Genomic DNA, 22,997 nt, shown 5'->3' with positions numbered 1-22,997 from the left:
GGTCTCCTTTTGGCGCCCTGGGGCAGCGAGAGACCGTGAGAAATTTCTCGGCGGCGCCGAAGATGCGCGCCACTTCCGGTCTGGCTCCTAACAACGGGGGAGGCTGGTAACCAGGGTGGGGGGGATGGCGGAGCGGGCGCTAGAGCCCGAGGCGGAGGCGGAGGCTGAGGCGGGCGCGGGCGGGGAGGCAGCAGCCGAGGAGGGCGCAGCGGGCCGAAAGGCGCGGGGCCGGCCGCGACTCACGGAGTCGGACCGGGCCCGGCGACGGCTCGAGTCCCGGAAGAAGTACGACGTGCGGCGCGTGTACCTGGGCGAGGCGCACGGGCCCTGGGTGGACCTGCGGCGCCGCAGCGGCTGGAGCGACGCCAAGCTCGCCGCCTACCTCATCTCTCTGGAGCGCGGCCAGCGGAGCGGCCGCCACGGGTGAGGGGGCCTGGCCCCGAGGGAGGGAGGGAGGAGACGCCCCCAGACCCCGCCGGGCTTTACCCCGCCCCCTCCGCTTCTAGGGCCAGCCCCCGGCACCTGCGGACCCCGCCCAGGAGCCGGGCCGGCGGCCTGGGTCTCGTACTGCCTGGCCGGGACGCGCCTGGCTCGTGGCCCCGCCTCCCATCGTTCCGACTGCCCAATCCTAGGGTGCACCCAGCCCCTCGACCCGCCTTCTGAGCGCTTGGCCCCGCCCGCTAGAACTCTGGCGGCCCAATCCTGGGACTGGCCCCACCTCCAGGCCTTGTAACTAACCAGGCCCTGGGGGGGCAGCCCCGCCCCCTCACCGGTCTCATCCTCCCCCGCTTAGTTCCCCACCTGGCCTGGGACTCTGGACACCCTGGGGCACTCAGCCCTGCCCTTCTTGAAGTTCTGGTGCCCCATCTGGGACTCCGTATGGCCCCATTCCCACAACCCTAGATCCAACACATCCGGGGGACCCTTCACAACCTGGACTGCACTCCCCTAAACCTATTTCTGTGAAGCAACTCAGCCCAGGGAGACTCGGATGAAGAGGAAACCCCTAGTTAGCTTGGCAGGTGGAGGGCAGAGAGGCCTGTCTTTGTAAATTCTCAGTCTTGAGAAGGAGCAGTGTGGATGGAGTTTTTCCCTTCCTGCCTTATATGTTGATGTGATGATTGAGTTAAAATAGGCAAAGAGCTTAGAAGAGTGCCTGGCAGGTAGTGGGTTCCCTAAGTATTAACTTTTACGAGGATGACGTTTATTCCGTATCACAAGCAGTGCCGCAAGGAAATCCTTGTTCTGCCCTGGTTTTCAGGTACACATGTTCTCATGTTTCTCTGGGGGGAGATTCTGAGAGTCAAGAATCAAACAGATCCTGCTAAGTTATACCCACCCCTTTCCCAGGACAGCAGGCTGGCTTATATGCTCAAGAGCAGGACTGGAAATGCTGGGAGCGCAAAGATACCTGCCTCATGGAGCGGACATTCTGGTGGGCAGAGGGGATGGCTTGTTCAAAGGTCTGGGGGGTTTTTTTGTTCGTTTTTCTTTTCTTTTCTTTTTTTTTGAGACAGAGTCTTGCTCTGTCGCCCAGGCTGGAGTGCAGTGGCACGATCTCCGTTCACTGCAAGCTCCGCCTCCCGGGTTCACGCCATTCTCCTGCCTCAGCCTCCCAAGTAGCTGGGACTGCAGCCGCCCGCCACCACGCCCGGCTAATTTTTTGTATTTTTAGTAGAGACAGGGTTTTACTCTGTTAGCCAGGATGGCCTCGATCTCCTGACCTCGTGATCCACCCGCCTCGGCCTCCCAAAGTGCTGGGATTACAGGCGTGAGCCACCGCGCCCGGCCCTCGTTTTTCTTTTTGAGACAGGGTCTCACTCTCTCGCCCAGAGTGGAATGCAGTGGCATGATCACGGCTTACTGCAGCCTCAACCTCGTGGGTTCAAGTGATCCTCTTACCTCCGCCTCCTGAGTAGTTGGGACCACAGGTGCACGTCACTCCACCTGGCTAATTTTTGTATTTTTTGTAGAGACAGAGGTTTCCCTGTGTTGCCCAGGCTGATTTCAAACTCCTAGGCTCAAGTGATTCTCCGGCCTCAGCCTCTCAAAGTGCTGGGATTACAGGTGTAAGCCATTGTGCCCAGCCCTGTTTGTTTGTTCTTGAGACAGGGTCTCACTTTGTCACCCAGGCCAGAGTACAGTGGCATGTTCATAGCTCACAGCAGCCTCAACCTCCCAGGCTCAAGGGATCCTCCTGCCTCAGTCTCCCAAGTAGCTGGGACTACAGAGGAGCCACCTCACCTGGCTAATTTTTTAATTTTTCATGGAGATGGGGGTCTCGCCATGTTGCCCAGGCTGGTCACGAACTCCTCGGCTCAAGGGATCCTCCGTCCTCAGCCTCCCGAAGTGCTGGGATTAAAGTCATGAGCCACCATACCTGGCAAAAGGCTTGTTTACTGCAGACCAGAAACATAAGTAAATTGTATCGTCCATGAGAGATAGGGGCTACGGAAAAAACAAAAGTGAAATGAAGAGTGTGAGTTGGAAGTTTAAATAGGGAGTTAAGGTGGTCACATTCAGAAGATAGCATTTCAGTAAAGACATGAAGGAACCTAGGAGGAGCCATGCAGATCTCTGGGGAAGAGTTGAGGCAGAGGGAATAGCAAAGGCAAAGGTCCTGAGGCAGGACCCTGCCTATTGTGTGCCAGGAACACTGAAGAGGCTTGTGTGGCTGGACTGCAATGAGTGAGGGGGAGAAGGGAAGACAAGGACAGATTGGTGACAGGGAAGGTCATCCAGAGCCATGGAGAGGACTCCAGTTTTTCCTCCCAGTGAGGTGGGAGCCTTTTCTTAAGTGCAAGATTTTGTACAGAGAAAGAAGTGGTATGGTCTGCCTTTATTTCCCCTGATGCCCCCCCCACCTTTTTTTTTTTTGAGATGGAGTCTTGCTCTGTTACCCAGGCTGGAGTACATTGGCGCAGCCTCAGCTCACTGCAACCTCTGCCTCCCGCGTTCAAGCGATTCTCCTGCCTCAGCCTCCCGAGTAGCTGGGATTACAGGCGTGCACCCCCATGCCCGGCTAATTTTTGTATTTTTAGTAGAGACGGGGTTTCGCCATGTTGGCTAGGCTGGTCTCGAACTCCTGACCTCAAGAGGTCTGCCTGCCTCGGCCTCCCAAAGTGCTGGGATTACAGGTGTGAGCCACTGCGCCCGGCGGGGTTGCAGATTTAAATGTAAAGATGAAACCATACCCGGGCCTGGGCCTGGCCTTTTATTTCCTTATTTATTTGTTTATTTATTTTTGAGATGCAGTCTTGCTATATTGCCCAGGCTGGTCTTGAACTCCTGGACTCAAGAGATCCTCCCACCTCAGCCTCCAGAGTAGCTGGGACTACAAGTCACACACAGCCTGGTTTGTATTTTAGAAGAAACTGTCTCTAGGATGTGTGTGGCTTGAAGAATGGATGGGGTACACATTGTGATACAAGGTTGGCCAAGAGTTAACAATTGTTAAAGCTGATGATGAGTCCAAGGAGGTTCATGACTCTTGTCAACAATTAAAATAAAAAAAAGGAAGACCAGGCATGGTAGCTCACGCCTGTAATCCCAGCACTTTGGGAGGCCAAGGCAGGTGGATCTCTTGAGGTCAGGAATTTGAGACCAGCCTGACCAATAGGCCAAAACCCTGTCTCTACTAAAAATGCAAAAATTAGCCGGGCATGGTGGCGCACGCCTGTAGTCGCAGCTGCTTGGGAGGCTGAGGCAGGAGAATCACTGGAACCCGGGAGGTGGAGGTTGCAGTGAGCCGAGATCGCGCCACTGTACTCCAGCCTGGGCAATAGAGCAAGACTGTCTCAAAAAGTAAAATAAAAATAGGCCAGGCGCGATGGCTCACGCCTATAATCCCAGCACTTTGGGAGGCCAAGGTGAGCAAATCACGAAGTAAGGAGTTCGAGACCAGCCTGGCCAGCATATTGAAACCCCGTCTCTACTAAAAATACAAAAATTAGCTGGGCGTGGTGGCACACGCCTATAGTCCCAGCTACGCAGGAGGCTGAGGCAGGAGAATCACTTGAACCCAGGAGGCAGAGTTTGCAGTGAGCCAAGATCGTGCCACCGCACTCCAGCCTGGGCAACAGAGCGAGGCTCTATCTCAAAAGAAAAAAAAAAGTTACTAAAGGGATACTTTTAGACAGAAAACACAGGCCTGAGTGTGGCGGTTGCTCTCCTTGGTAAGGGAGGTGAGGGAGAAGCAGCAGCCCGGTGCCAGTGGAGCACTGGGCAGTGGCAGCACCCAGGAGGCCAAAGGAAGTGTCTGCCATGTCCAGTGCTGTTGGGCCGAGTGAAGCCGTCACTGGTGACTGTGATGGGAGAGTGTGTGACGTGATGGAGCAAAGCTCTGACTGGAGGAGTTCCAGTGAGATGGAGGAGAGGACATGGAGACAGCGAGTGTAGACAACTGTGACAAAACGGGGAAATGAAGAAGGAGGCTGGGTGCTAGTGGCTCACACCTGTAATCCCAGCACTTTGGGAGGCTGAAGCAGAAGGATCTCTTGAGCCCAGGAGTTTGAGACCAGCTTGGGCAACATGGCGAAACTCGATCTCTACAAAAAGTACAAAAGTTAGCCGGGTGTGGTGGTGCATGCCTGTGGTCCCAGCTACTCAGGAGGCTGAGGCAAGAGGATCGGTTGAGCCCTGGAGGTCGAAGCTTCAGTGAGCTGTGATGGCGCCACTGCACTCCAGCTGGGGCAACACCACGAGAGCCTGTCTCAAAAAGAAAAAAAAAAAAAAAGATATGGGGAAGGGGCTGGTGGGGAAGGTGGGTATCAAAATGATTTTAACCCAAGATGGGAGAAATCATGGCATATTTAGATGCTGGTGGGAATGACTGAAGACTGAAAGGAAATGGCGGGAAACAGCCAAGCCAGGGCCTGAGTAGCCCCGGAGCTGTGGTCCTTGATGCCAGTGGCCTCTGCTGGGAGTCACAGAGAAGTGGCAGAAGTTGGAGAAGTGGACAGGAGAGGGAAGGCAGTTTGAGGGAGAAAGCCCTGTGTGGGGGTTGGAAAGTGGCGCTCACCAGGTTACATATGACCTTGTTTGGTCCCCATGGTGACCCTGTGTCAGAAGCACTACTACTATTTCCACTTCACAGACGGAGACTGAGGCTCAGAGGGGACAAGACCTGCTTGAGGTCACACAGGCAGTTGAGAGCAGAGCTGAGTCTTGAACTTGGGTCTGGCTGATACCCAAGACTGTCCCCACTGCAATGTGACACTCCCAGCCTCCAGCGGTGAGTGGATGGAGGTGGCTGTGGACATCAGGACTTGGGTTTGGGGCAGGGCATGGTGGCTTACACTTGTAATCCCAGCACTTTGGGAGGCTGAGGCAGGCAGATCACTTGAGGTCAGGAGTTCGAGACCAGTCTGGCCAACATAGCGAAATCCTGTCTCTACTAAAAATAGAAAAATTAGCTGGGCTGATGGCAGGCATCTATAATCCCAGCTACTCAGGAGGCTGAGGCAGAAGAATCGCTTGAACCCAGGAGGCAGAGGTTGCAGTGAACTGAGATAGTGCTACTCCACTCCAACCTGGGTGACAGAGCCAGACTTGGGTCTTGGGTTGGGTGAAGGTCTCTACAGCCAGTGTGGTGCTTTGCAGGGGAGGGTGGAGCCATGGGAAGGGATAGAGTCACATGGAATGGGACCTGGAGTAGCAGAGCCAGAGGCAGGGGCAGAGCCTGGGGCAGGAAAGATGGAAGATCCCCAAGGTGCAGTCCTGGGAACCAGACGGGTGTGGGACTGAGAATTGTTACAGGGCTGGGCAGGAGTCAGACGGGGTGGACAGTTTTGCTGATAAGAGACACTAGACTGGCTGTCAGGATGTTTGTGGCAAGAGCAGGTCTGGGCCACAGCAGGGAGGCCAGGGGGCCCAGGCTCCACGATGATACTGATAATCATAACGATCATTGTACCATTTGCTTATTGATGATTAAGTGACAGGGCTGTACCATGACGAAGATCGTTTTTTGTTTGTTTTTGTTTGTTTCTTTGTTTTTGAGACACGGTTTTACTCTGTTGCCCAGGTTGGAGTGCAGTGGTGTGATCATAGCTCACTGCAGCCTTGACCTCCCCAGGCTCAGGTGATCCTCCCACCTTAACCTCCTGAGTAGCTGGGACTACAGGTGCATGCCACCCCGCCTGGGTAATTTCTGTATTTTTTGTGGAGATGGGGTTTCACTGTGTTTCCCAGGCTGGTCTCCAACTTCTGGCCTCAAGCGATGCACCCGTCTTAACCTCCTAACGTGCTGAGATTACAGGAATGAGCCACGGAGCCTGGCCTTTTTTTTTTTTTTTTTTAATTGTATAAATAGAGGTGGGATCTTGCTATGTTGCCCAGGCTGGTCTTGAACCCCTGGCTTCAAGCAGTCCTCCTGCCTCAGCCTCCCAAAGTGCTAGAATTACAGGTGTGAGACACCACACCCAGACAGTACCCACTGTCTTGCTGGCTGTGGGCCAAGACCACTCTCAGCCTCTCAAGTAGCTGGGACTACAGGCTTGAGCCACTGTGCCCTACAAGATATGTTCCCGTTTGATTAACTCACAGTCACCTAACCAAGGCTTGACATCCAGTCCTACTCACAGGCCTGCCCCGCTCAGGGGAAGAGGATCACACAGGGCATGTGTCCCAGCAGAACTGTGGGGGCCATCTTGGAATTCTGCTTCCACACAAACTTTTCATACCCACTTTGTTACTTCTCTGCTCCCTGACTGTGGGACCCAGGGCAGATGGCCTCACCCCTCCAAGCCTGTTTTTCCTGCTCCTTGAGGTGGATGATGCTAGAGCCCCCTCCCAGGGCTGATGGCAATTGGGGAGAGAGTCCAAGGGAGGGGCCTGGTGACACAGTTCTGGAGTTGGGGAAAGGTACATAGAAGTTCAGATTCTAGGCTGGGCACGGTGGCTCACGCCTGTAATCCCAACACTTTGGGAGGCCGAGGTGGGCGGATCACCTGAGGTCAGAAGCTTGAGACCAGGATGGCCAACATGGTGAAACCCCGTCTCTACTAAAAATACAAAATTAGTCTGTAATCCCAGCTATTCAGGAGTCTGAGGCAGGAGAATCACTTGAACCTGGGAGGCGGAGGTTGCAGTGAACCGAGATCGCACCACTGCACTCCAGCCTAGGCAACAGAGACAGACATTGTCTCAAAAAGAAAAAAAAGTTCAGGGCAGGCGTGGCGGCTCATGCCTGTAATACCAGCACTTTGGGAGGCTGAGGTGGGCGGATCACCTGAGGTCAGGAGTTCGAGACCAGCCTGGCCAACATGGTGAAACTCCGTCTCTACTAAACATACAAAAATTAGCCAGGTGTGGTGGCGTGCACCTGTAATCCCAGCTACTTGAGAGGCTGAGGCAGGAGAATCGCTGGAACCTGGGAGGCAAAGGCTGCAATGAGTCAAGATCTCACCACTGCACTCTAGCCTGGGCAACACAGTGAGACTCCATCTCAAAAAGTTCAGATTTAGTTTCAGTGTACAATGAGCAGTGGCTCTAGCCACTGTTGTTACTCATGGGTCAGACAGGCCCAGCGCTGGTCCCCCGTTCACCCTCTCTGCCTCTTTCTGTTGCAGGAAGCCTTGGGAGCAGGTCCCCAAAAAGCCAAAGCGGAAGAAAAGTAAGTGGAGGCTCAGCCTGGGGGAGGTGGGGAGAGTTGGGAGCGGTGGGAATATGGAGATGGAGGCCCAGAGAGGCCAGGTCGCTGCCCTAGGCAGCACAGTTGGAACCAGCAGAGCCCGACCTCAAACCCGGGTCTGCGTGTCTTGTGTCTCAGGCGCAGTGTCCTTGGCTCCCTCATTCTCTTGCTCCCGGCATGGGAGTCAGCCAGGGGAGAGCCGAGCAGAGGGAACAGCTTTTGCAGAGCCCTAAGGGCAGGGGGAGCCAAGCACTGGTGGTTAGAGGGGAGGTCTGGAGCTTGCTCCTCCTGTCCTGCTGGCCACCAGTTGGTGAGAGCTTGAACTGTCAGGGTCTGCACAGCTCTGAGCCCTGGAGCTGGGGGTCCCAGGCCATGTCCAGCAGGGTGAAGGCCAGCTGGTGGCAGTGAGCCCCTCCCTTCTTAGGTTTCTCCAGAGGCAGGGGTGAGCTATGACCTTGATCCTGAATCCTCAAGGGATGAGGAGCGCATTGAGGAGGGAAAGGGCTGGGCCGGAGAGGCGGCTGTGGGTGACGACTCTGTTGCCCTCATGATTGGAGACTGTGAGCACATTCCCTAGACCCAAACACCTCTTCTGGGCCCCTCTTCATCTCCCGGCCCACAGGGTAGGAGTGGGGGACATGCTGTCCTCGCACTTGGCTGAGGGACCAGGACCATCACAAGAGTCAGATACCATTTCCCAGCACTCACTGTGTGCCCAGCCTTGTTCTGTGTCCTGGCGATGTCTTCACTCCCTTCCTCCTGCCTGGCAGCCCTCCGGGATGGGAATCCCTTATTCTCCCCAGCCTAGAGGAGGCACCTGGGGCTCAGAGAAGCCAAGTCACTTGCCTGGAGCTACCCAGCTTGGAAGGGGCAGAGCCAGGATTCAAACCCAGGCGGTCCGGCTCCACCATGCCCGCCCGCTATGCAGCGTTCTCTCATCCAGCAAATGTTCCTGGAGCACCTGCTATGAACCAGGCCCTTTGGGGGCACTGGGGGTACAGGAGGAGCAAAACAGCAGTGTTCCTGCTCTTGAGGAGCTGACATTCTGGTGGGAGAGACAGACAGGGCACATGTAAACAAATGGCCACAGATGGCATCTAGGTACTACCTGGAGAAAACAGACAGCAAAGTTAAGGTCGGCTAGAGTGACTGGGCAGGGAGTGGCCTCTTGGAGGGGATGCATTTGGGGGAGACCTGAGTGAAGTGGGGAGGGAGCAAGACAGTTATCTAGAGGAAGCAGGCACAGCCTGTGCCAAGGCCCTGAGGCAGGGCCACACCTAGCCCGCTCCAGGAACAGCGAGGAGGCCATGTGGCTGGAGTGGAGTGCAGTCACCAAGTGGGTGAGGGCGGGGAGGTGACAAGTCACAGTGGGCCTTGTGGGCCGAAGGGAGGACTTTGGCTTTTACCCTGAGGGAGTTGGTCTTGCTGTGTCATCCAGGCTGGAGTGCAGTGTTGCGACCTTGGCTCACTGCATCCTCCACCTCCCAGGCTCAAGCGATCCTCCTACCTCAGCCTCCCAAGTAGCTGGGACAAAAGGCATACACCACCATGCCGGCCAATTTTTGTATTTTTAGTAAAGATGGGTTTTCGCCATGTTAGCCAGGCTGGTTTCAAACTCCTGGCCTTAAGTGATCCGCCTGCCTCTGCCTCCCAAAGTGCTAGGATTGCAGGTGTGAGTCATTGCGCCTGGCCCAGTGGATTCTGAGCAGAGGAGGGAACAGACTTGACTCGGGCATTCACAGGCGCCCCCTTGCGGCTGTAGGGGGTGGTTAGGGCGGGAGCCTGGGAGTCCTGGGCCTGAGGACTGCGCTGGTCTAGGCGTTTGATGAAGATGAGAACAATTAACAAGCAGCTAACAATTATTATGCACCTACTGTGCACCAGGCTCCACTGTTTACATGACTTTGCCAATAGAACAGTCCCCGTTACCTCCAGGGGGTGCCTCTCCTCTCTGAGCCTCAGTTTCCCCCTTTAAACTGGGTACAGGCCTGGATGGTACTCAGGAGGGCCTCCAAACCCATGGGACCCATAAAGCCCCGGTGGTTCAGGCAGCCATGTCACCATGGGCTGAGCCCTGTCCCTTATACCCACTCCTCGGCCCTGTGTCCATAGGGCGGCGACGCAACGTGAACTGCCTGAAGAACGTGGTGATCTGGTACGAGGACCACAAGCACCGCTGCCCGTACGAGCCGCACCTGGCGGAGCTAGACCCCACTTTTGGCCTGTACACCACGGCCGTGTGGCAGTGCGAAGCTGGCCACCGCTACTTCCAGGACCTGCATTCGCCCCTGAAGCCCCTCAGCGACTCAGACCCTGACAGTGACAAAGGTAGGTCTGCAGGGCGAGGGCACATAGGGGGCCGCCCATTTCTGGGGGCTTCTTACGAGCCCTAGGCTAGCATCACAAACAGAATAGCAGCCACAGTGGCTCTGGCTCTGGCTCTGGCACTGGGGCAGAGCAGGGACACGATGGGCCAGGCTGAGTCCTTCGTGGCCTTGCCCTCTTTGCGTCCTTACAGAGCTTGAGTGGGGAGGCAGTCCCTCTTTATGGAGCAGTTTGCCAATCTGTGCCCAAGGCCAGTCCCAGGCAGGGCTGGCTGAGGGCCCAGGAGCCCTGGCTTGGCAGCTGGGGCGGGGGCAGGCCTGCTGGGGCAGGGCTCGGCCCCCACAGCGAAACGGCCGCCTAAACCACCCAGGCCTTATGGCTTCATAGGCTGTGATGCTCTCCTGAGCCCTGGCTAAGCTGGCCGCTACCTCCTTTTCGATTTTCTCTGGCTCCCAGTTGCATTCTCTTGCCTTCTGCCTTTCCAGGCTTCGTTTCTTGCCTTCCCCCTCCATTCTGTTTCCCTCCTGTTCCCCATTTCTCCTCCCTTGAGCTGCCTCTGTCTCCTCCTTCCTTGATCTTTCATTTTCTGTCTCATCTCCCTCTCTCTCTTTCTCTTGTTTCCTTCTATTCCCCTTTCTCCTCCTCCCTCCCCACCTTCGCGGTCCCTGCCTCTCTCCTTCCCATCCCACGGGGCAGGGACTCAGTGAGGGAGGCTCAGTTGGCCCCGGTGAGTGGTGAGGGGGCTGCCGGCAGCCTCAGGGGTTCGGCAATGGCTGGAGAAGGAGCGTAGGGCACACTGCCAGGCGTCCTGTCAGGGCTGAGGGTGGGGCGGTCACCAGGGCTGAGCCTGCGCTGGCTGGCATCTCGGAGCAGGTGGCATCCCAGCTGGCCGAGGGGAAGCCGGGGGCGAGAGGTGTTCCGGGTGGGCGCCCCCGCCAACGACCGTCCCACCAAGTGTCGGCCAGGCTCTCAGCGTGCAGTGGCCTCTCGGCTGCCCCATCCCATGATCTGCATTCCGCCCTCCTCTGCCTTTTACTGCCCCCTCACTGTGTGCCACTCCTGGCCCTGCCCAGAGCCACCATGAATCTTCCCCATGGCCTTGTCATCAGCCCCACTTGGCAGTCAAGGAATCCCAAGCCCCAGGAGTGATCTGACTGGCCCATTTGGTGATGGGTCAGGCTGGGGTGTGGGTGGTGCCCAGAGCAGCTTACTTACGCCCCAACTCAACTTTTTATTATTTATTTATGTATGTATTTATTTATCTGAGACAGGGTCTCGCTCTTGTCGCCCAGGCTGGAGTGCAATGGCGCGATCTCGGCTCACTGCAAGCCAAGCCTCAGGTTCCAGCCATTCTCCTTCCTCAGCCTCCCTAGTAGCTGGGATTACAGGCATCTGCCACCACACCTGGCTAATTTTTGTATTTTTAGTAGACACTGGGTTTCACCATGTTGGCCGGCTGGTCTTGAACTCCTGACCTCAGTTGATCCACCCACCTCGGCCTTCCAAAGTTCTGGGATTACAGGCGTGAGCCACTGCACCCGGCCTTATGTTATGTTATGTTATGTTATGTTTTATGTTATGTTATGTTATGTTATGTTATGTTATGTTATGTTATGTTATGTTATCTTTTTGAGACAGATTCTGTCTCTGTCACCCAAGCTGGAGTGCAGTGGTGCGATCTTGGCTCACTGCAACCTCTGCCTCCCAGGTTGAAGCAATTCTCTCACCTCAGCCTCCCTAGTAGCTGGGATTACAGGCGTGAGCCACCATGCCCAGCTAATTTTTGTATTTTTAGTAGACGTGGGTTTTCACCACTTTGGCCAGGCTGGTCTCGAACTCCCAGCCTCAAGTGATCCTCCTGCCTCGGCCTCCCTAAGTGCTGGGATTACTGGTGTGAGCCACCATACCTGGCTTTTTATTTTTATTTATTTTTTTTAAGACAGGGTCTCACGGTTGCCCAGGCTGGAGTGCAGTGGTGCCATCATAGCTCACTTCAGCCTCCAATTCCTGGGCTCAAGTGATCCTCCCACCCTGGCCTCCTGAGTAGCTGGGAACACAGGCACACACCACCACAGCCAGCTGATTTTTAAATTTTTTGTAGAGATGGGATCTCACTGTGTTGCCCAGGCTGGTCTCAAACTCCTGGGATCTAGTAATCCTCCTGCCTTGGCCTCCCAAAGTGCTGGGATTACAGGCATATGCCACCGGGCCTTGCCCATGGCTATTTCTGTTGGTGCTGTCATTACCTGAGGAGAAGTCTGGGGTCAGCCAAACTTAGCAGGTGCTGCAGTCAGGTGGACCCAGACGCGTGCTCTGGCCCTTCCCTCCACTCATTAGGACACTGCGCCCTCCTTCTGGATGGTGCCAGAGAGTTTGCCCACCCTGCAGAATACAGGACAAGGGGAAATTATCCAGAAAGAGGGGCTGATCCTCCTTATCCCCAACCCTGCTGCCACCCCAGGTCCATCAACAGTGGGCATCTCACTGCCCTGAATGGCACTGAGATAATAATAGGAAACTTACAGGGTACATACTTTTAATCTCCTACTGTCCTAAACCCTTATACATATTTACTCATTAAAGACCCAAAACAAAGGCTGGGCACGGTGGCTCACACCTGTAATCCCAGCACTTTGGGAGGCCGAGGCAGGTGGATCACTTGAGACCAGGAGCTCAAGACCAGCCTGGCCAACATGGTGAAACCCCATCTCTACTAAAAATACAAAAATGAGCTGGGCATGGTGGCGCATGCCTGTAATCCTAGCTACTTGGGAGGCTGAGGCAGGAGAATCACTGAAACCCAGGAGGCGGAGGTTGCAGTGAGCCAAGATCGCACCACTGCATTCCAGCCTGGGCAACAGAGCAAGACTCTGTCTAGAAAAAAAAAAAAACACTCCCGAGGGCCGGGTACAGTGGCTCACACCTGTAATGCCAGCCCAGCACTTTGGGAGGCCAAGGCAGGTGGATCACTTGAGGCTAGAAGTTCGAGACCAGCCTGGGCAACATGGCAAAACCCGGTCTCTACTAAAAATACAAAAAATTAGCCAGGTGTGGTGGTGTGTGCCTGTACTTCCAGCTACTTGGCAGGCAGAAGCATCAGAATCACTTGAACCCGGGAGGCAGAGGCTGCAGTGAGCCAAGACTAGGGAGCAGAGATTGATTCATTTATTGGAACGAGCCCTCACTGTGCACCACACAGCCTTCTCGGCACTGGGGGCTCTGCACCGGGACCCCGCAACCTTACGGAGTTTACATTCTAGAGGGGAAGCGGATTGTAAGCAGGATAAACCAATAAAAATATAGAGTGCAGGCTGGGCACAGTGGCTCAAGCCTGTAATCCCAGTGCTTTGGGAAGCCAAGTTAGGATTGCTTGAGGCCACGGCTTAGAGAACAGCCTGGGCAACATAGTGAGACCCCATCTCTAGCAAAAAAATGAAAAAGTTAGCTGGGCATGGTGGTGCACCTCTCCCAGTGCTTTAGGAGGCCGAAGCAGGAGGATCGCTTGAACCTAGGAGCTCGAGGCTGCAGTGAGCTATGACTGTGCCAGTGCATTCCAGCCTAGGTGACAGAGGGAGACACTGTCTCAAAAAAATAAATTAATTAAAATACAGGCTGGGCGTGGTGGCTCACGCCTGTAATCCCAGCACTTTGGGAGGCTAAGGTGAGTGGATCACTTGAGGTCAGGAGTTCGCAGCCTGTCCAATATGGTGAAACATTGTCTCCACTAAAAATATAAAAATTGGCGGGGCATGGTGGGGTGTGCCTGTAATCCCAGCTACTCAGGAGACTGAGGCAGGAGAATCACTTGAACTTGGAAGGTGGAGGTTGCAGTGAGCCGAGACTGCACCATTGCACTCCAGCCTGGGTAACGAGCAAAACTCCATCTCAAAAATAAAATAAAATATAGAGTGCACTGTAAGGTGGTATGTGCTTTGGGAAAAAATAAAGGAGGGAAAAAGGAACTATTTGAGACAGAATGGTCAGGAAATTCCCCCTGAAAAAATACCTTTAATGAAGGATCTGATGGAGGGGAGGGAGGAGCCCTCTCAGGTGTCAGACAGAAGAGGATTCAAGCCGGCCGGGTGCGGTGGCTCACGTCTGTAATCCCAGCACTTTGGGAGGCCGAGGTGGGCGGATCATGAGGTCAGGAGATCGAGACCATCCTGGCTAACACGGTGAAACCCTGTCTCTACTAAAAATTAGCTGGGCGTGGTGGCGGCACCTGTAGTCCCAGCTACTTGGGAGGCTGAGGCAGGAGAATGGTGTGAACCTGGGAGGCAGAGCTTGCAGTGAGCCAAGATCGTGCCACTGCACTCCAGCCTGGGCGACAGAGCGAGACTCCATCTCAAAAAAAAAAAGAGGATTCAAGCCGAGGGAATGGCAGGTGCAAAGGCCTTGAGGCAGGAACCTATCTAGTGTCTCCAAGGACATTAGGAGAGGAGGCGAGGACAGGAGGTGATGGAACACCTCCTGAAACAGACGCACTCCAGCTCTCGTGACCTGGCACAGTGGTTTGTTTCCCACATACAAAGCCTGGTGCTTCCATCCTGCAGACTGCCTTTCATCCCTGGACCCAGGTTCTTTCCTTCCTATGGCTCCAGCCTCCTTGTGGGTCCTGGCTTACTGGTGGGGAGAAAAGTGGAGACTCAACCTTGGGAGCACCTGTCCACTTGCATTCCATTGGCTGGGACTCAGCCACATGGCCACACCTACCTGCAAGAGATGCTGGGAAATGTAGTCGGTGCTGGTGCCAGGAAGAGAGGGATTTAGTGAGTAGCTGGCCTGCTTCTTTCACAGGAGGTAAAGAGTAGGTTCTTAGGAGCCGGGGACCCAAAAGAAGGGACTGCACTGGCCCTGGCAGGGGGCCGGTGGGGCCGCAACTAGCATCTGCAGGGGAAGTGGGAGAAGCGTTCAGGCTGCGGGTGGATGTATTTTGGATGCAGCACCAACAGGTTTTGCTGACAGATTGGAAGTGGGTGTGAGAGAGAGAGAAGTCAACAAGAGCCCCAGGACTTTGGCCTGAGCCACTGGAGAGACTGAGCTGCCTTCCGCTGAGTCAGGGACACCCGTGAGCAGTGCAGGCTTTGTAGAAGGGAAGATACAGAGCCCAGTGTTGCAGATCTGAGTTTGAGATGCCTGTGAGACACTCTTAGGGGGCCAATGAGATGGAAGAATCTGGAGCTCGACATGGAGGTGTAGGCAGAAGCTGCAGATGGAATCACCAGGCCATGGATGGTTGTAGTAATAAGAATACATACTTGGCCAGTCGCGGTGGCTCACACCTGTAATCCCAGCACTTTGGGAGGCCAAGGCGGGCAGATCACCTGAGGTCAGGAGTTCCAGACCAGCCTGACCAACATGATGAAAACCCATCTCTACTAAAAATACAAAAAAAAAAATTAGCCTGACATGGTGGCGTGTGCCTGTAGTCCCAGCTACTCAGGAGGCTGAGGCAGGAGAATTTTTTAAACCTGGGAGGCGGAGGTTGCAGTGAGCCGAGATTGTGCCACTTCACTACAGCTTACACAACAGAGCAAGGCTCTGTCTCAAAAAAACAAACAACAACAACAACAGAACAACAAAAACCCTCTTGAACAGTCCCAGATTGGTGAACAGTTCCAGATTGAGATGCTGGGACGGTGGTACCCCCGGAGAGGGCATGGAAGCCCATACCATACCCCCGTATCTTGCCCTGTGCATCTCTTCCCTTTGGCTGTCGCTGAGTTGAATCCTTTGTAATAAAGCTGTAATTGTAGGTAGAGCCATTTTCTGAGTTCTGTGAGTTGTTCTAACAAATTATCAAACCTGAGGATGGGGTCATGGAAACCCCCCATTTAGAGCCCATTGGTCAGACATACAGGGTAGCCCAGGACTTGCAGCTGACATCTGAAGTCCGGCGGTCTTGTGGGACTGAGCCTTTAACTTGGAGGATTTGACGCCCACTCCGGGAAGATAATGTCAGATTGGATTGAATTATTGGACATTCAGTTGGCATCGAGAATCGGAGGGTGGCCTTTAACCCCATTAGCCTGGGCAAGCCTGGGGGTAAGGTGAGCGCTGAGGAGAGGCCCCAGGCCAAGCCTTCCAGGCCTGCAAGAACCAAATAAACTTGGAAGGAGCCACCAGGAAGGGCCCAGGATACCACAGCGTGGGTCTGGGGGCTAAGAGAGGAGAGTGTCCCCTGGAGTAGGGGTGGTCAGCTGGGTCAGTCATCTTGGAACAGTTAGGGACAGTGGGGATTGAGAAGTGACTGCTGTTTTAAGCAGTGAGAGGGTCACAGTGTCTAGCCCCTGAAGAGCCCTCAACAAATACCAACTGCTGGCCGGGCATGGTGGCTCCCGCCTGTAATCCCAGCACTTTGGGAGGCTGAGGTGGGAGGATCACTGGAGCCCAGGAGTTCAAGGCCACAGCCTGGGTAGCATAACAAGACCTGATCTCTACTTGGGAAAATCAGGGCCACACGAGGTGCCTCATGTCTGTAATTCCAGCACTTTGGGAGGCCCGGGCGGGCAGATCACCTGAGGTCAGAAGTTCGAGATCAGCCTGGCCAAAATGGGGAATCCCGTCTCTACTAAAAATACAAAAATTAGCCAGGTGTGGTTGCATGCACCTGTAATCCCATTTACTCAGGAGGCTGAGGCACAAGAGTTGCTTGAACCTGGGAGGTAGAGGTTGCAGTGAGCCCGGATCGCACCACTGCACTCCAGCCTGGGTGACAGAGGGAGACTCCATCTCAAAACAAAAACAAAATCGGGCCAGATGTGGTGGCTCATGACTATAATTCTAGCACTTTGGGGAGCCGAGGTGGATGGATCACCCAAGGTCAGGAGTTTGAGGCTAGCCTGGCCAACATGGCAAAACCTCATCTCTACTAAAAACACACAAATTAGCCAGGTGTGGTGGTGCACGCCTGTAATCCCAGCTACTCAGGAGGCTGAGGCAGGAGAATCGCTTGAACCCAGGAGGCAGAGGTTACAGTGAGCCAAGATTGCACCATTGCACTCCAGCCTGGGTGACAGAACGAAACTCTGTCTCAAAAAAAAAAAAGAAAAACTCAGGCCGGATGCGGTGGCTCATGCCTGTAATCCCAGCACTTTCGGAGGCCGAGGTGGGCGGATCATAAGGTCAGGAGATCGAGACCATCCTGGCTAACACAGTGAAACTCCATCTCTACTAAAAATACAAAAATTAGCTGGGCGTGGTGGCGGTTGCCTGTAGTCCCAGCTACTCGGGAGGCTGAGGCAGGAGAATGGTGTGAACCTGGGAAGCGGAGCTTGCAGTGAGCCAATATTGCGCCACTGCACTCCAGCCTGTGTGACAGAGCGAGACTCCATCTCAAAAAAAAAAAGAAAAGAAAAGAAAAATTCAGCCAGGCACGGTGGCTCATGACTGTCATTCTAACACTTTGGGAGGCTGAGGCGGGCAGATGACTTGAGGTCAGGAGTTTGAGACCAGCCTGGCCAACATGATGAAACCCCGTCTCTACTAAAAATACAAAAATTAGCCGGGTGTGGGCCAGGCGCGGTGGCTCACACCTGTAATCCCAGCACTTTGGGAGGCAGAGGTGGGTGGATCACGAGGTCAGGAGATCGAGACCATCCTGGTGAACCCCTATCTCTATTAAAAATACAAAACATTAGCCGGGCATGGCGGCACATGCCTGTAGTCCCAGCTACTCGGGAGGCTGAGGTGGGAGAATGGCATGAACCTGGGAGGCAGAGCTTGTAGTGAGCAGAGATCGCGCCACTGCACTCCAGCCTGGGTGACAGAGTGAGACTCCATCTCAGGAAAAAAAAAAAAAGCCAGGTGTGGTGGCGCACACCTGTAGTCCCAGCTACTCGGGAGCCTGAGGCAGGAGAATCACTGGAACCGGGGATGCCAAGGTTGCAGTGAGCTGAGATCGCACCACTGCACTCCAGCCTGGGTGACAGAGTGAGACTCTGTCTCAAAAAAATAAATAAATAAATAAATAAAATAAAATAAAAACTAAATAAACAAATACCAGTGGCTGCAGCTATCATAACCACTCCCTTTCTTCTGTCCCCACAGTGGGCAATGGGCTGGTGGCTGGCAGCTCTGACTCATCCAGCTCTGGCTCTGCCTCTGACTCTGAGGAGTCTCCTGAGGGCCAGCCGGTCAAGGCTGCGGCAGCGGCAGCGGCAGCGACGCCCACCAGCCCGGTGGGCAGCAGCGGGCTCATCACTCAGGAGGGCGTGCACATTCCCTTTGACGTCCACCACGTGGAAAGCCTGGCCGAGCAGGGTACCCCGCTGTGCTCCAACCCAGCAGGCAATGGGCCTGAAGCCCTGGAGACAGTGGTGTGCGTGCCGGTGCCTGTGCAAGTGGGTGCGGGCCCCAGCGCCCTCTTTGAGAACGTGCCCCAGGAGGCCCTGGGTGAGGTGGTGGCCAGCTGCCCCATGCCAGGCATGGTGCCCGGCTCACAGGTGATCATCATTGCGGGCCCTGGTTACGACGCTCTCACGGCCGAGGGCATTCACCTCAACATGGCAGCAGGCAGCGGTGTCCCCGGCAGTGGACTGGGCGAGGAGGTGCCCTGTGCCATGATGGAGGGTGTGGCAGCCTACACCCAGACAGAGCCCGAGGGTAGCCAGCCTAGCACCATGGACGCCACCGCAGTAGCAGGCATCGAGACCAAGAAAGGTCTGGGGGACCTGTCGTGGCCTCTGGCCAGGGGTGGTTGGGCCTGGGAGGGGCCGGGCGAGGAATGGCCCTCGAAGTGGGCACCTCGGCAGCCTTCGTCCCCTGCGGACACCACCCTGTGTCCACCCTGTAGAGAAGGAGGACCTGTGCTTGCTAAAGAAGGAGGAGAAGGAGGAGCCAGTAGCCCCGGAGCTGGCAACAACGGTGCCTGAGAGCGCAGAGCCTGAGGCAGAGGCGGACGGGGAGGAGCTGGACGGCAGCGACATGTCAGCCATCATCTATGAAATCCCCAAGGAGCCTGAGAAGTGGGTGCCGGGGCGGGCAAGGGTGAGGGCGAGGGCTAGAAGCGGCCCGCAGGCCCCCAGCCTGCCTGGTGCGGGAGCCCCGATGTCATGGCCCCTTCCCCTCCAGGAGGCGGCGGAGCAAGCGGTCGCGGGTGATGGATGCTGACGGCCTGCTCGAGATGTTCCACTGCCCATACGAGGGCTGCAGCCAAGTCTACGTGGCCCTCAGCAGCTTCCAGGTGAGGCCGCCACCCGGAGCAGCCTGGGCCAGGCCCACAAGGCCCAGGCCATGGCACCACCAGGATGTCCTACCTCTAGTTTGCCCCTTGAAATTTGACGAGGTGTCCCTGAAGGCAAAGACAGGGACTTGTCACACCCCAGGACCTGGCATGGGAGGATGCAACAACAGGCCTTTGTGCCATGCCATGCATTGATTGAGCATGTATTAAGCACTTAGTGCAAGCCAGGCCTGCAAGCTGGAGCCAGGGTTGTTCTAGTAAGTTAAAGAGTGAAGGAACAAAGGAATGAATCAATTGGGGCTGCCTGTTCCAGGCCCACAGAGGCTGATAGCCCTCAAATCCAGTCCCAGTCCTGCCACTGGCCACCTGTGAGACCTTGGCCAAACCACAGAGCCTTGAACCTCAGTTTCCCCATCGATTAATTGGGCTAACAGCTGGGCCCTTCACAGAGTTGACAGATACCCCAGTCCAGAGCCTGGCATATAGTAGGTGTTCAATAAAGCTGCCCTTGGCCAGGTGCGGTGGCTCACACCTGTAATCCCAGCACTTTGGGAGGCCGAGGTGGGCGGATCACGAGGTCAGGAGATCGAGACCATCCTGGTTAACACGGTGAAACCCTGTCTGTACTAAAAAATACAGAAAAAAATAATAGCAGCCGGGCGTGGTGGCGGGCGCCTGTACTCCCAGCTACTCAGGAGGCTGTGGCAGGAGAATGGTGTGAACCCGGGGGGGTGGAGCTTGCAGTGAGCTGAGAGAACACCACTGCACTCCAGCCTGGGCGACAGAGCAAGACTCCATCTCAAAAAATAAAAAAAATAAAGCTACCCTTTGACCCCAGTTGTGCCCCTGGGAATCTCTGAGCTGGGCAAGGGTACCCCTCTTCCCTCCTCCTGGGGAGGCCAGCCCCAGCCTGCCTTCCAGCTGCCCTCATCTCTCCCCACCTCCCAGAGCCCCTTCTGTGGGCCTATGGGACCCACTTCTGCCTGTCTCGTCTCCAGAACCACGTCAATCTTGTGCATCGGAAAGGAAAGACCAAAGTGTGCCCTCATCCTGGCTGTGGCAAGAAGTTCTATTTATCCAACCACCTGCGGCGGCACATGATCATCCATTCAGGTCAGGCCCTGGGCCAGCTGGCAGCATGAGCGGGGGACACAGGGACATGGGCCTGGGAGCCTGGGCCAGAGCTGGCGGGTCAAAGCCCAGTGCTGGGTCTCCGGGCACAGGACTACACCCCTAGGAGCCTCCTCCCTGTCCTCAGTAAGCTGTAGCTATGTGAGCCACAGCGACAGGAACTATTACCAATCAATCACAGGAATTGGGTGGGGCTGGCCATCTTCCCTCCTATCCCCGCGACCCCATGCCCCATGATCCCAAGAGCAGGTCTCATGCGAGACTTAGGGAGCAGCTGACACCGCCACTGCTCTTCCAGATTGGAACCTATAGCAGCACCTGGGGCCACAGGCTAGACCAGTGCCCACCCAAGCAGCAGCAGGAAGGAGAGCTGGGCAAAGAGGAGCAGCTGGCTTGGGACTGGGCTTCTGTTTCCACTTGTGGCAGAGATGCAGGTCTTCTGCATGGGCTGGGGACATAGTGGAGAGCCATGGTGCCTGTGTCCAGCGATAGGGCATGCCCTGAGGGCCAGAGCTTCTGATATCACAGGAGGTCAGAAGTTTGGGGGTTTTTTTTGTTTTTTTTGGTTTTTTTTAATGTGTGTGTGGTTATTTTTTGCAACAGAGTCTCACTCTGTTGCCCGGGCTGGAATCCGATCTTGGCTCACTGCAGCCTCTGCCTCCCGGGTTCAAGCAATTCTTCTGCCCCAGCCTCCCAAGTATCTGGGATTACAGGCGCTCACCACCATGCCAGCTAATTTTTTTTTTTTAGTAGGGACAGGGTTTCGCCATGTTAGCCAGGCTTGTCTCCAACTCCTGATCTCAGGCGATCTGCCCACCTTGGCCTCCCTAAGTGCTGGGATTATAGGTGTGAGCCACCGTGCTGGGCAGAAGTTTTTTTTGTTTTTGTTTTTGTTTTCATTTTGCGAAATCACCCAAAGTTCAAATATCAGGGACAAGGCCGGGCGTGGTGGTAATCCCAGCCCTTTGGGAGGCTGAGGTGGGCAGATCACCTGAGGTCAGGAGTTCGAGACCAGCCTGACCAACATAGAGAAACCCCGTCTCTACTAAAAATACAAAATTAGCTGGGCATGGTTGGTGGCACATGCCTGTAATCCCAGCTACTCAGGAGGCTGAGGCAGAAGAATCGCTTGAACCCGCGAGACCAAGGTTGTGGTTGCGGTAAGCCGAGATCGGGCCATTGCACTCCAGCCTGGGCAACAAGAGCGAAACTCCGTCGCAAAATATATATATACACACACACAAGACAAATTCAGACCCATGTTGGCTTGGTAGTGTGCACCCTATGCCTCTCAGGGACCCAAGTTCGATCTCAGTTCTGCTTGATGGCGTCTGTGGGCAAATGCACGGGAAGGACGTAGGGTTTGGTCGGCCTGCACCTGCAGTCCTGGGAGATCCAAGGAGACAGCCTGATGCTCCTTCTAGCATCAGAGTCTGCAGCACATCAGAGACACCCCATAGCCCACCGTCCTCAGCCTCGGTCCCCACCGCCCCCAGGTGTCCGTGAATTCACCTGCGAGACCTGCGGCAAGTCCTTCAAGAGGAAGAACCACCTGGAGGTACATCGGCGCACCCACACCGGCGAGACCCCCCTGCAGTGAGTGACAGGCCGCCCCGTGCCGCTAGAGGATTGGGTGGGAGGGGATCCCAGCAGGTCCCAGGGGCGGCTTCGCCCCAACGCAGTGTCTGGGCCCGGTTCCACCTGCGCTCGGCCTTGTAGGGCCCCGCCCCGCCCCGCCCACTCTGACCCCGCCCCGTCCCGCCACGGGCTCCCGGCAGGTGCGAGATCTGTGGCTACCAGTGCCGGCAGCGCGCGTCGCTCAACTGGCACATGAAGAAGCACACTGCGGAGGTGCAGTACAACTTCACGTGCGATCGCTGCGGGAAGCGCTTCGAGAAGCTGGACAGCGTCAAGTTCCACACGCTCAAAAGCCACCCGGATCACAAGCCCACCTGACCCACCTGACCACTGACCGCCCCTATTTATTCGTCCGCTCGGACACCACGCCCGGGCTTGCCGGGGCCTGGACAGCTGCGAGGGCCGCCCGGACCGCGGGCCGGAAGGAGGCGCCCCCGCCCCGCCCCAGAGCTGGGCCCCCTGGGCAGGTTCCCCACCCCGCCCCACCGCATCCTTCTCGGAGCTGGTGCCTGGGGCTGCATTGCTGGAACTGTGTCAAGAGAGCAGAGTGAGATTAAAGAGCGAGAAAGGAGATGCCCTTCCCCTAGGCCTGAATGATTTGGGGTGCCAGGCCCCTCTCTGTCTCCAGCCTACTTGATCCCTTCCTAAGCGAGGCAGGGAACGAGGGATGCCCCTGGGCCCAGCAGCCTCGCACAGCCCCTGCTCCCACAGGATGGGGTGAGGCTTGGGGGTCTGGGGTCTCTGGGCATCTCCCGGAACTCAGGACCCTAATTTCCACTTCCTCCTGTTTTATGGGGCACCCATCTCCCACCCTCAGTGAGCTCCGGGATGAGATGGGGAGGTGTTCAGTAAACCCCTAAAATGAGAAACATTTGCAGCTAGCGACAAGCGCCATGCAAAAGAGAGAGTGATGCGTTGTTTTCCGGGGATGCTGTTTAGGTCGGTGGTCAGGGAGGGCCTCTGAGGAGGTGGCATTTGCGCATAGACCAGAATGACAAAGATCTATCCCAGAAGAAAGCTGGGGGAGGAAATTCTCAGGCCAGAGGAACAACCAGTGCCAAAACCCCGAGGTAGAACTAGCTCGGC

The 22,997-nt window shown here is 55.7% G+C and overlaps 1 protein-coding gene and 1 non-coding gene across 2 annotated transcripts, besides 3 other annotated features; both read left to right on the top strand.

Moving 5' to 3' along the window:
* Nucleotides 72-22,482, top strand: ZNF653 (zinc finger protein 653). Its single transcript, NM_138783.4, has 9 exons — nucleotides 72-423; nucleotides 7,572-7,615; nucleotides 9,746-9,961; nucleotides 18,008-18,619; nucleotides 18,753-18,924; nucleotides 19,031-19,142; nucleotides 20,141-20,255; nucleotides 21,770-21,869; nucleotides 22,052-22,482. The coding sequence occupies exons 1-9, from the start codon at nucleotides 125-127 to the stop codon at nucleotides 22,227-22,229; spliced, it is 1,848 nt and encodes a 615-aa protein (NP_620138.2). The 5' UTR covers nucleotides 72-124; the 3' UTR covers nucleotides 22,230-22,482.
* Nucleotides 87-756: a silencer, noted in NCBI's record as "silent region_10115". NCBI's record gives its function as "represses an Ori minimal core promoter by ATAC-STARR-seq in GM12878 lymphoblastoid cells {active_cell/tissue: GM12878}" and the evidence as "EXISTENCE:reporter gene assay evidence [ECO:0000049][PMID:35858748]".
* Nucleotides 907-976: an enhancer, noted in NCBI's record as "active region_14021". NCBI's record gives its function as "activates an Ori minimal core promoter by ATAC-STARR-seq in GM12878 lymphoblastoid cells {active_cell/tissue: GM12878}" and the evidence as "EXISTENCE:reporter gene assay evidence [ECO:0000049][PMID:35858748]".
* Nucleotides 9,269-9,318: a silencer, noted in NCBI's record as "silent region_10114". NCBI's record gives its function as "represses an Ori minimal core promoter by ATAC-STARR-seq in GM12878 lymphoblastoid cells {active_cell/tissue: GM12878}" and the evidence as "EXISTENCE:reporter gene assay evidence [ECO:0000049][PMID:35858748]".
* Nucleotides 10,289-10,367, top strand: MIR7974 (microRNA 7974). The gene has a single exon (NR_107014.1). It is a non-coding gene; the product is annotated as a microRNA 7974 (primary transcript).

The sequence above is a fragment of the Homo sapiens genome, chromosome 19 (genome assembly GCF_000001405.40).
Source record: "Homo sapiens chromosome 19, GRCh38.p14 Primary Assembly".
In the NCBI taxonomy this organism is placed as follows: domain Eukaryota; kingdom Metazoa; phylum Chordata; class Mammalia; order Primates; family Hominidae; genus Homo; species Homo sapiens.
Note: the sequence above shows the minus strand (reverse complement) of the source record. Positions and strands in the feature narration are given on the sequence as shown.